The sequence below is a fragment of the Homo sapiens genome, chromosome 7 (genome assembly GCF_000001405.40).
Source record: "Homo sapiens chromosome 7, GRCh38.p14 Primary Assembly".
In the NCBI taxonomy this organism is placed as follows: domain Eukaryota; kingdom Metazoa; phylum Chordata; class Mammalia; order Primates; family Hominidae; genus Homo; species Homo sapiens.
Window position 1 is genome coordinate 64,931,809 of NC_000007.14, and position 13,267 is coordinate 64,945,075.

At 39.1% G+C, this 13,267-nt stretch overlaps 1 protein-coding gene and 2 pseudogenes across 1 annotated transcript in view; 2 read left to right on the forward strand and 1 right to left on the reverse strand.

Moving 5' to 3' along the window:
- The window catches only part of ZNF273 (zinc finger protein 273), a 59,714-nt gene extending 54,206 nt beyond the window's left edge, over positions 1 to 5,508 (forward strand). Inside the window, exon 5 of the transcript XR_007059982.1 lies at positions 5,498 to 5,508. The gene's annotated coding sequence lies outside the window, so the exon portion shown is untranslated. The remainder of the gene's footprint in view (positions 1 to 5,497) is intronic.
- VN1R42P (vomeronasal 1 receptor 42 pseudogene) lies at positions 1,465 to 1,943 on the forward strand (annotated as a pseudogene).
- Positions 10,355 to 11,103, reverse strand: MTDHP1 (metadherin pseudogene 1; annotated as a pseudogene).

Genomic DNA, 13,267 nt, shown 5'->3' on the forward strand with positions numbered 1-13,267 from the left:
AGTCAGAAATGGAATATATCAATGGTGAAACAGTAACATTGATTTTTCATGTGGAGAGGACATTTTTTTTCCAGGCTGCGAAGCTGAATTCTGCCGAATTTAAAGAGAAATGCTGGTTATTTTCTAATTATATTCAGTTTTGTTTGTCTTATGTGTATTCCAACAATGTGTGCATCACAGCTCTTCTTTTTCTGTGTTATGGCTACAGTTTTCTTGCTGTTGTCTTTATGCCATGTCATTTCACATGGTAATTTAGTAAGTTTTGATGAGAAATTTGATATTTTTAGTGCACTGAAAAATTGGTTTTAATTGGTGAGTTTGCTTACCAATATAACTGTCAGATTGTTAAGATAAAAGGCATACGCTGTCCACAGGTGAGAGGATTAAATCACTTAGCATTGTTTTTAACTGTTTGTAAAAAAAAAAAAAAATATCTTACTAGATTCTTATACAAAGTGTGGCAAATATAAAATTTGCTAGAAAATATGTTAGAAATTTATTTATTTATTTATTTATTTAGAGATGAGGTTTCACTCTTGTTGCCCAGGCTGGAGTGCAATGGCGCGATCTTGGCTCACCACAACCTCCACCTCCTGGGTTTGATTCTCCTGTCACAGCCTCCCTAGTAACTTAGATTACAGGCATGTGCCACCACGCCTGGCTAATTTTGTATTTTTAGTAGACAGGGTTTCTCCATGTTGGTGAGGCTGGTCGTGAACTCCTGACCTTAGGTGATCCGCCCACCTCCGCCTCCCAGAGTGCTGGGATTACAGGCGCGAGCCACTGCGCCCGGCCAGAAATTAAATTTTTAAGAGAGCTAATGGTAAATCTGACTCGGCACGGTGGCTCATGCCTGTAATCCTAGCACTTTGGGAGCCTGAGCTGGGTGGATTACTTAAGGCCAGGAGTGCGAAACCAGCCCGGCCAACATGGTGAAACCCTGTCTTTACTAAAAATACAAAAATTAGCCAGCTGTGGTCGTGTGCATCTGTAGTCCCAGCTACTTTGAAGGCTGAGGCAGGAGAATCATTTGAACGCGGGAGTAACGTTTTCACACAGAATCTATTTTTAAGTGTGACTGTAAAACATTGCAAAATAATAAAATGACTTCTGTTGACTTGAAATTTGGAATAGTATTTCTTTTCCCTATTAATATTACAATTTGGAGGAATTCCTTTTTTAGATGCAGTCTCACTCTTGTCACCCAAGCTGGAGTGCAGTGGCGCCATCTCGGCTCACTGCAACCTTCGCCTCCCAGGTTCAAGCTGTTCTCCTGCCTCAGCCTCCTGAGTAGCTAGGATTACAGGCACCTGCCACCACGCCTGGCTAATTTTTGTACTTTTTAGTAGAGACAGCGTTTTGCCATGTTGGCCAGGCTGGTCTCGAACTCCTGACCTCAGATGATCCACCCACCTCAGCCTCCTGAAGTGTTGGGATTACAGGCGTGAACCACTGCGCCCGGTCTCACTTTTCTTAATATATATTTTTTTGGTTGGTGAAGTTCAGTCTACAGCTTTTATTCTTAGTCACCTATCTGTAGCCAACTCCTTGGTCATTTTCTCTGGAAAACTTTTGGAGATCAGGGCAACTTTTGGATTAAAACGTTTTCTATTTTTTTGCATGCAAATTTGTGTTCTGCCTTCACAGAATGGTGTCATGGGACCATAAGCAACACCTGCCCTTTTAGTGTCTTTCATACCATTACCATCTGTACCAGAAACTCCAGGTACCCCAAGCTTAAAGTAAAAACCCTAAAGTACATTGGCTTTTCCCACAGACTGTACTGGGTCCAGAACATGCTGTTAAATATCAGAGTTTCTGTGATTATGACAGATGACAAAAGCCACACAAGAACTAAGTATTTTTGATACTATTCAGCCAAGTTTATGAAACAGACACAGTATTTGAAACATTATTATCTTTCTATAATGTTTTAAAAATGAATTTTTTGATGTGACATAAAATGCATTTTTTTCTGTAAAACATGATGTTTTGAAGTATATATACAATGTCAAATGCTTAATTCCAAGTTAATGCTTTACCTCACATAGTTAACATTTTATGGTGAGAGCACTTCACATTTTCTTAGCATTTTTCTTAGCACTTTTCATTTTTTCAGTATTAGCATATACAAATACATTATTATGAACCATAGTCACCGTGCTGTACAGAAAAATCTTTTGAACTTATTCCTCTTATTTAACTATAATTATGTACCTGGGATTACAGGCACCCACAACTATGCCTGGCTAATTTTTGTATTTTTAGTAGAGATGGGGTTTCACCATGTTGGCCAGGCTGGTCTCTAACTCCTGACTTCAAGTGATCTGCCCGCATTGGTCTCCCATAGTGCTGGAACTACAGGCATGAGCCTGCAGCCTGGCCAAGTTTCTTACATTTTTTTTTATATTAAAGTCTTGTCACATGTATGGTTTGCAAATATTTTGTCCCATTTTTTACTTTTCTTGTCCTGTTTGTTGTATCAGATTTTTTTCAACAGCTTTTTATTAATAATTTGAAGTAATCTGACATCAATTTTGCCTTTGATTCTCTGGGATTTTGAGGTTAAATCAAAAGAATTACTGCCTAGACCAATGTAATGGGGCTTTTACTCTATATTTTTTGTAGTAGTTTCAGAGATTCAGGACTTACATTTAAGTAATTAAACTATTTGAATAGATTTTTATATATGGTGTGAAATGAGGGCCTCATTGCTCTGCATGTTGCTATAATTTTCTTAGCACCATTTATTGAAGATAATGCCCTTTCCCTAAGAAAGTGTTACCTATATTTAAATTGAGTTAGCTGTAAATACGTGGATATATTCCTGGTTTGTCTTTACTGCTCCACTGGCATATGTGTCTGTTTTTATTCAAGTACCATACTGTTTTGAGTACTATAGCTTGGTAGTATATTTCAAAGTCAGGTAGGGTAATAACTTTAGTGTTTTTTTTTCTTGATTGCTTTGGCTATACAGGATCTTTTGTGGGGTATCATATAAATTTTAGATATATTTAATTTTTATTAAGTATGTCACTGGTATTTTGATAAAGGTTGTGTTATATCTGCAGATTATTTTCTGTAATATGGATATTTAACAATATTAATGCCAATTCATGAATTAGTACTATTTAATTGGTTTAGTATTTAATTTCTTCCTTTAATGTTCTTTAGATTATAATGTAAGGTGTTTTAACTTTTTGGTTAAACTGATTTCAAAGTGTAGTTATTACATTTATTGTAGATGAGATTGCTTTTAATTTCATTTTGAGATAGTTAATTGTTCTTGTGTAGAAATGCTACTGACTCGTGTGTTGATTTTGTATTTTGCAAGTTTAATAAATTTGTTTATTAGTTCTAAGTGAAGTCTTAGGCTTTTCTATACCTAAGAGTATGTCATCTGTAAACAGGGATAATTTAACTTTTTTTCCAAGCTGGATGCCTTTGATTTTATTCTCTAAATTTTCTGACTTGGACATTTAATACTATGTTTAATAAGACTGATCGAAGTGGGCCTTCTTGTCTTGTTCTAGCTTTTAGAGTAAAAGCTTACAACATTTCCTTGCTTAATATGTTGTTAGCTGTGCATTTTTTTTGGTATATCTGGTGTATATTGGCTTGAGGTGCATTTGTCCTATACCTGTTTTATTCAGAGATTTATCATGTATTTATCATGTATGTTGAATTTTGCCAGCGCTTATTCTCCACCTATTATTTATTTATTTATTTATTGAAACAGAGTCTCACTCTGTCACCTATGCTGGAGTGCAGTGGTGTGATCTCAGCTCACTGCAACTTCTGCCTCCCGGGTGCAAGCTATTCTCCTGCCTCAGCCTCCCAAGTAACTGGGATTACAGGTGCACGCCACTATGCCCAGCTAATTTTTACATTTTAGTAGAAATGGGGTTTCGCCATATTGACGAGGCTGGTCTGGAACTCCTGACCTCCAGTAATCCACTCACCTCAGCCTCCCAAAGTGTTGGGATTACAGGGGTGAATGCATAAACAGTTATGTAGATAGTTTCTCTTAGTTTAACAAGATAAAAGTAACAGTTAAAACATTTGAAATGGGATAAAATTAATCAAAAATTGATAAAAAATCAATAGCTTTGCATAATTGCCATGCTTTTTGAAATGACCAGATTACTAAAAAGAAGCAAAGACAAGATTTTTGCTTTGCTCAATTATTAAGTTATGGATATTTTGAAATCTAAAATCCTGGCTAAACAACTTGAAGGGAGAATTCTTCAGGTAGCTTCCTAGGGTTTCCAAGGCAATACAAGAAGAATTTTGATAGGCAGGAAAATGCATGCTACATACACATATTATTATTCTCTGATTTCCTTTCACATGTAAAAATTGAAAATTGCAAATCTGGTCTTTCAATTAGCAAAAGATTTATTTTTCAGCAAAGCAAATAACTGTAGAAAACTGATGGGGGAACAAATGCCATTAGCTGCCAAAAACAGTATGACCAGATTCAGTAAGTATCTAGTCATGCAAATCACAGCCCAATTAAATTAAGACCCCATAGGTGCATGTGGACAGCATTTCCATGCAATGTGGTGCACCTCCACTGGGCACCTTCTTCTGCCTGCTTACAGAGATACCAATTTCCCCTGAGTGACTCAAGGTGAATACTGGGAACTGAGAATTCTGTGTTCAGAGGGATTACTGGGAACATGGTTAACACACTTTTACCATATTATAATAAAATTTGATGTATCCTACTCTGCCTCAGAAAGGCTTTTGGTAAAAGATTGTTTATTTATAGTACTCAACCTGGATTCATGAAAAATTATAATATATTCCAGGTAAGTCAGAGACACTTAAATGTCAAACAAATTTTATAAAACACACTTGAATGAGATAAAAGTCTTCTTAGCTAAAAATTTTTTCAGTAAATTTAGGGAAAAATAGAAAACCGGTACTTTGTGTTAAATAACAGTGTTTTGCACACAAGTGCTACTCAAATGAGTGCTCTTCATTGTCATTAAAATGGCAATAGCACCATGTGCTTTCCTGGCACCAGCTGGCTTGTTTTTTATTGGTGTAAAGTGAAGAAGGCATTGAAATAGAGAAGAAAGGTGACAGAAATTGAATACTTGTATAAAATGCAATTTTTAATAAAAAGCATTTGATGTTGTACAGCTACAGGTAAGACTATGAAGTCATGTTCTATTGACAGAATAACTTTATTCACAATATTCTTATTTCAAATGATATTACTTTTTTGGCTATACATTTGCTAGCCTTTGGTGAAATATTACCTGGCGCAATAGAAATCAACAAAATGAATCTTTATTTTACCAGAAGCATTTTACTATGATTCATATGCTTATTTTGCCTAAAATACATTAGCTTTTTATGAAAGACTTATACTTTTCTTTCAGTGATTTCTATATTGCTAAGAAGTGGCTGTCCTGCCAGGAAACTGCTATTCTCAGCTCTACCCACATTGACTAATAGTGAGTGAAAGTGATGTGTGGATAAGAAGCAAATGTGTCTTCTCTGCATCTCTTTTTAAATGTAGTCACTGAAGAAAAAGAATGCGGAAGATAGTAGATAAAATATAATGTGATTCCTGAAAGATCACGAAGAAGTCCTCTTAACCAGAAAGAAAGAAAGAAAAAGAAAAAGGAAAGAAAAACCACAGGGGATGGTGATGTGAGCAGAAGATATGTTATTTTTCTAAGCCTCTGAAATTTCAGTATACAACCTGCATTGCTTTAACAAATACATAACTCCTTCAGTTTTGCTTTTCAGGATATAATTCCATTCCCTGGTGAATCAAAACAGAGAAGAATAGCTTATATGTTAAGGTAAGAGACATAAGGAAGACCCATTACTTTGGACCAACATCTCCTCCACCCCCAATTCCAGGCAATCATCATTCTACTCTCTGCTTCTATGGTTTAAATTTTTTGTACACTCTACATAGAAAATAATATTATGTGGCCGGGCAGGTGGCTGTCACCTGGAATCCCAACACTTTGGGAAACCCAGGCGGGCAGATCACCTGAGGTCAGGAGTTCGAGACCAGCCTGACCAACATGGAGAAACCTTGTCTACTGAAAATGAAGAATTAGCCAGATATGGTGGCGCATGCCTGTAATCCCAGCTACTCTGGAGGCTGAGGCAGGAGAATTGCTTGAATCCGGGAGGTGGAGGTTGCGTTGAGCCAAGATCACGCCATTGTACTCCAGCCTAGGCAACAAGAGAAAAACTCCGTCTCAAAAAGAAAAGAAAAGAAAAGAAAAATAATATTAAGTGGGTTCTTTTCTCTGCTGACTTATTTTACTTAGCATAATGTCCTCCAGGTTCATTGATGTTGCAAATAATGAGAGTTGCTTCTTTTGAAGGGCAGAATAGCATTTCGTTGTGTAAATATACCACATTTTCTATATTCATTCACCTGTTGATTAACACTTAGGTTTAATCCATACCTTAGGAGTAATTGTGAGGAATCCACTTCCTTTTTTTAATTTGTTTTTGTTTTTATAACTCTCCTTTTATTTTTATTTCTAGAAGTATTTTAATTTAATAATATAACTTATGACTGTTACATATCTTCATTTGAGCTTGATTTGGGACATGAGCTATGTGCCCAGGAGAAATTAGTTTACATCCTTGGAGCTTCAATCTACATTATTAATAAAAGATACTATTTTTCCAAGGGCTGTTTTAATTTATACATAGTAGCTATAAGCATTTTTCACTGAAAGGCTCTTCTAAATATAGCAAATATTTAAGAATAAGAATTTATATTTCAAAGATTTTTAATAACTGGGTATATTTTGTCATATTTAGTGTATTCTTTTGAAAAATGCCAAAATAAGAATTTTATTATTTTTCCTGGAATAACAGCCTAAGGGATTCTGCATTGTGGCTTTGCTAATTTTAGCATATGGTTTTGACTGCTACAATTGAAATTAGGTTGAATTTTAAACTCACTATTGTTTAGCTTGTGTGGTTTTTGGTTCATTTGCAGAACCAAATATATTGGACATGAAGTGCGTGGGGTGACTTGGTTTCATTTCTACTCTCTTTTGTTATTACATTTGGAACTTTAGAAATGATTGGGTTCAAATAAGGTTGGTTTTGAATCAAGCAACAGAAAATCCCAGAAATCACTGAGAGAAATAGCTACTGCACAGTGCTTTTCAATGAGATTTATACATGAAACAGAGTTTATTGAAAGTTTGTTGAAATTAGAAACTAATTACCTGTAGGCACATATTAGGCACTTGTCTTAGTTTGTCTATGGCATCCCTAGCTTGGGGAAGCTGACATTACAGAAAAGAATATTGCTGCGGTAATAAGATTTGGAACAAATACTTATGTGTTTGTAAACCTTTGCCTTAATAATCCTTAGATAAATGTCATTCTGACTCAATCCTTTTGGCACAACTGCTTAAAATTCTACAGTCTCCTTCCCACCAAAGTCAACTCATGGAATTTTCAGCTTTTTATGTTTTGATTTTTTTTTTAACCCAGTAAGCTTTATAGTTGACATCATTATATTGAGATTCCCCAGGCAATTCCTGAGCCTTAAGAGCTGACCATCTTACCTCATCCTTCTTGTTTCACATTGTCTGTTGCTGGGTCCCTCTCACTCCATATTTGAGCCTTAATGAGGCCTCAGTTTGGAGGAACCAAAGGAAAGCGTTGCCATATATGTTGGGTTGAGAATCAGGATCCTCTTGAGGAAAAAGACTTTTCATTATTCATAGTACAAGGCTGTATTTTTGAGATGTGGACATGAATCACTCAAATAATTTTATCAGGATGCCAATATGCTCAAAATAAATATCAAGTTCACCAAATGTTTTGCTTTGGACTCCCACAGCACAAAGATCACTATATAAGCATTGACTAGTTTTTTTTGGTGTAGGTTTTTGTTTTTAAGATATTTTCCTACTTTATGCTGATGTCAAGCTACACAAAGCTTACCAAAAGCTTTATTTTACCAAATTTTTTATATCAAAAGTTCAAATACTTAAATATCGAAAGTTAAATTCTGGATTACCATTTTCCATGTGATGTAGTTTGCATTTATTAGTACTACCTTTCAGCTTTTAGTTATGTGGTGCAAGGTTATAAAAATGCCTTCCAGTTGATTTATTTTATTTTTTTCTCCCGAGACAGAGTTTTGCTCTTGTTGCCCAGGCTGGAGTGCAATGGCGCAATCTCTGCTTACTGCAACCTCCGCCTCCCAGGTTCAGGTGATTCTCCTGCCTCAGCCTCCTGAGTAGCTGGGATTGCAGGCATGTGCCACCACACCCAGCTAATTTTTGTATTTTTAGTAGAAACCGGGTTTCACTGTGTTGGTCAGGCTGTTCTCGAACTCCTGACCTCAGGCGATCCACCTGCCCTGGCCCCCCAAAGTGCTGGGATTACAGGCATGAGCCACAGCGCCCGGCCGGCCTTCTGGTTGACTACCTAGGTAACAGCAGAGTCTGTTTTCTCAGACAGTAGCATAAGAATTCTTGATATACCACCTTTAGAGGTACTGAACACAACTGGATATATGTGCTGAAATATAGATTTATCTATAAACTCATTAGAGACTAAGTCATGGCAACCTGTTACAGTTCAATATTTTTGTCTAAATTCTTGTTGAGCCACATCCATCTGTATACGTAATACTGAGTTGCTAACAGCTTCTTTATACTAAGTCATAACTCATTTTACCTTGTAGTTTCATTTGAAACATATGAGCTGTATTATATAACATTCAAAGAAGTAACACAAATTTAATTCAAAGACTATGGAAAGAAGAGTCATACAGGCACAGACAGTGATTTGGAATCTGGCAGGAGACAATGATTAACAGGTTGAGCATATTCAACTAGGCCTAAATCCCTGAAACAATACTGAAAGACATTTTTTAATTAAAAATATATTGACACTTTAATAGATCTATGAAATTTGAAAGAAAATGATTTGTTTACTCATCAATCAATAAAATTTTTGAACACCCCATAAGAAAACAAAATAAAATTAGTCAACTATCCCCAGACTTACTAAAACAAGACTTCAGCATGTTTGAAAACACAAATTATTAATTAAATATCCATTTTTAGGCCAGGTGCGGTGGCTCACACCGGTAATCCCAACACTTTGGGAGGCTGAGGCAGGCAGATCACCTGAGATCAGGTGTTCAAGACCAGCCTAACCAACATGGTGAAATCCCGTCTCTACTAAATATACAAAAATTAGCTGGGCGCAGTGGTGCGCCCCTGTAATCTCAGCTACTCAGGAAGAGGAGGCAGGAGAATCACTTGAATCTGGTAGGTGGAGGTTACAGTGAGCCGAGATCATGCCATTGCACTCCATCCTGGGCAAAAAGAGTGAAACCTTGTCTCAAAAAAAAAAAAAAATTAAAAAAAATTTTTTTACTACGTGCCATTTTATAAAATAAGCCTGAATTTGTGGAGTCATTTTTTAAAGAAGCCAATCTTTTCTGTAGGAAGATTTATACATCAAAAACTAGAGATAAAAATGTCATTATATACATCATTTGCTGAACCCTACAGTAATCTGTAAAGTTTGTGTACACCAATCTTACATTACCTAAAACATAACGTTTTTTATGTTACACTTAACATACAAAAGTTCAAAATATATCTAGACAGGAACTGTGGCTGCCACTTTTAAAAAACAAATGTGGCTGGGCGCGGTGGCTCATGCCTGTTATCCCAGCACTTTGGGAGGCCAAAGCAAGTATATCACCTGAGGTCAGGAGTTCGAGACCAGCCTGGCCAACATGGTGAAACTCTGTCTCTACTAAAAATACAAAAATTAGCTGGATGTGGTGGCAGGCACCTGTAATCCCAGTTACTTGGGAGGCTGATGCAGGAGAATTGCTCAAACCTACAAGGCAGAGGCTGCAGTGACCTGAGATCATGCCACTGCACTCCAGCCTGGGCAGGAGTGAGACTCTGCCTTAAAAAAATTAAAAATATATGAAAAACAAATGTTTGGCCAGATGGGGTGGCTCATGCCTGTAATCCCAACACTTTGGGAGTCCGAGGCAGGTGCATCACCTGAGGTCAGTAGTTTGAGACCAGCCTGGCAAACACGGTGAAAAACCGTCTCTACTAAAAATACAAAAATTTGCCAGGTGTGGTAGCACACGCCTGTAGTTTTCAGCTACTGGACAGGCTGAGGTAGGAGAATTAATTGAACCCAGGAGGCAGAGGTTTCAGTGAGCTGAGATTGCACCACCATACTCCTGCCTGCGTGACAGAGCGAGACTCTGTCTCAAATAATGAAAAACAAATGTTTTAGCACAAAAAGAACAAAATAGTAAACTAAACTGTGACAGTTTAGATTAAAAACATGATAAATGACTTTTTATTTGCACTTGTGATGAGAATCACCTTTATTCATTTTGGAACACATGGGAAATGCTGCGGTGGTAACTTGCTGGGTGATGACTGGGATGGTATTTACTCTCCCAGGGATGGTGGGATCCAGTGGACCAGAATCATCAGCACCTGACCGTGTTCACTGCTGTCCTTTCTCTCAGTGACTAAGATTCATTTCTCAGACTCCTTCATCAACTCCATTTCTGTTGTACTGTGGAGGGTTTTTTGCTGCTTTAGCATCTGCCTTTGATTTCTTCTAATTTTCTTTGAAATTTTATTTTTCTTGTCTATTTCTGGTGCTGACTTTGCTGTTCCAGTTTGAGGAGTTACCGCAGCTTCACCCTCAGCTCCTCCAACAGTCCATCCGTTTGGCACAAGTTTCTCGGGCAGTTTCTCTGGGTTCTTCTGTTTCTGGCGTCTGAGATTTGTCAGCAGAGCCTGGTTTTCGGGGACCATGGCTAGCTAGCACCTCCTCCCGCCTGCGGGATGGCTCCTGCACTTCTGGTGGGCGCTGGTATCAGCCGCCGCCCAGCCGAGCACAGCAGGAACCGCAGCAGCAGCCGGAGCACCCGCACCCAGGGTCGCTCAGCCCCGGGACGCCTCGGCTCCAACGTTGGGTCGAGACCCAGCTCGGTGCACAGAAAGCCAAGGTCAACCAGAGCATTTCCCGCAGCTGGGCGAGCCCTCCTCAGCCTGCGGCCAGTTCCTCCCACCAGCTTCAAGCTGCCACCGCCCCTTTCATCAGAGGGACGCACAGGAAGATGCAGGGGCACAGAGACACCCACCGTGGAAGAGTCCAGGGGAATGAGGAGGAGCGGGGCCTGGCAGCCTTAGGCCCAGGGCATCGCGGCGCCCCTCACACCTGAGCAGAGATCAGCGACTGCCACCTCGGGGAGGACAGAAGGGCCCAGAGTCCTCCAGCCAGCCTCCCTCTCCACCAGAAGAGAGAACTGTTTCCTTAAAAGAAGCACAGAGGGCCGGGCGCGGTGGCTCACGCCTGTAATCCCAGCACTTTGGGAGGCCGAGGCGGGCAGATCGCTAGGTCAGGAGTTCGAGACCAGCCTGACCAATATGGTGAAACCCTGTCTCTACTAAAAATACAAAAATAAATAAATAAATAGCACGGAGGCTGCGCGGTGGCTCATGCCTGTAATCCCAGCACTCTGGGAGGCCGAGGCGGGTGGATCATGCGGTCAGGAGTTCGAGACCAGTCTGGCCAAGATGGTGAAATCCCGTCTCTACTAATAATACAAAAGTTAGCCAGACATGGTGGGCGCCTGTAATCCCCGCTACTCGGGAGGGTGAGGCAGAGAATTGCTTAAACCCGGGAGACAAAGCAGAGATAGCACCGCTGCACTCCAGCCTGGATGACAGAGCGAGACTCTGTCTTAAAAAAACAAAAAACAAAAAAAAACAAAAACAAAACCAGCACAGAGTAGAACTTGCGGATCTGACCCGGTCAGGTTTTCATTTTTTTTTCTTTTTTTTGCCTTTTCCTCTAAATTATGCTTGCCTTCAGTCAGATTTCATGTTTCATACTCATGTGGCAATTTAAATGTAATTATAATGGTCACAAATTTAGGAACTAAGAGTTTTAATTTACCCAAGAGTGCTACTTTAACATTAAACTTTCAATAGTGCTTTCTGAATCCTATGGTTTATTACCTTCTATTTGAATCTATTAATTAACTATAGTAACTAATAATAATAAAGTCTTGATCTGCGTAGCTTGACCGCTTACAAGGTCGTGTATTTATTCATTTAACTGAAAAGTGTGTGTTAGCAGACACGATGTGCCATCCTTTTTGCTAGGCTTAGGAAATAAAATGAAGAAAAAATATTGGTCTCTACTCTCATGAAACTTTCAGTCTGGCTACATAAAACCCTCACACACTCCTGAGAAGTGGATACCTCCGAAGTCTCCTATTAACCTCCTATTCCAATGTAACCACTATCTGAATTTTGTGTTATCATTTACTTTATGCAATTTTATCTATAAACAATATACATTTGCGTGTTGCCTGTTTTGGGGGTTTATATAAAGTCTACCATAAGTTTTCATCTGTGATTTGCTTTTTTTTTATAATTGTACTTTTCTATTTTTCCATGTTGTCTAGAAACATAGCACATTTTCATAAAGAGGGAAGGGGGACATCTCAAGGTCTCCTGGCAGTGCAGCGAAGGCTGGTGAATTATCATTAAAAAGGCTGAGATTATCATTAAAGAAAAATCTCTGAATTGTGACACTGCACTCCAGCCTGGGTGACAGAGTGAGACTCCATCCCCCCGCCCCCCCGAAAAAGAAACATTTGAAGCACATTTTTAACACCAAATAGCAACAGGATTATCAGGTTCAGGATTCTGAAAGAAGGGGTGTAGATCACTTTATTTCATTTTTTCATTTTTCTTTGCTTTTTCTTTTTTTGAGACGGACTCTTGCTCTGTCACCCAGACTGGAGTGCAATGGCATGACCTCTCCTCACTGCAACCTCTGCCTCCCGGGTTCAAGCTATTCTCATGTCTCAGCCTCCTGAGTAACTGGGATTACAGGTGCTCGCCACTATGCCTGCCTGATTTTTGTATATTTAGTAGAGACCAGGCTTTGCCATGTTAGTCAGGTTGGTCTCGAACTCCTGACCTCAGGTGATCCACCCACCTCAGCCTCCTAAAGTGTTGGGATTACAGATGTGAGCCACTGCACCCAGGGCCACAAAGGTGTGGACACCTAGGAGCCAGGGTCATTTTCTGAGGACAATGAGTCATTGAAAGGCACAAGTAGGTGAGGGATGGATTGGGCTGCTGGTTTGAAAGCGCAACATGGAGCTTCCTATGGCACAGGCAGCTTGGGGGCAGAGAGGCCAGTGAGAGGCAGGAGCAGCAGCCCAGGCTGTCAC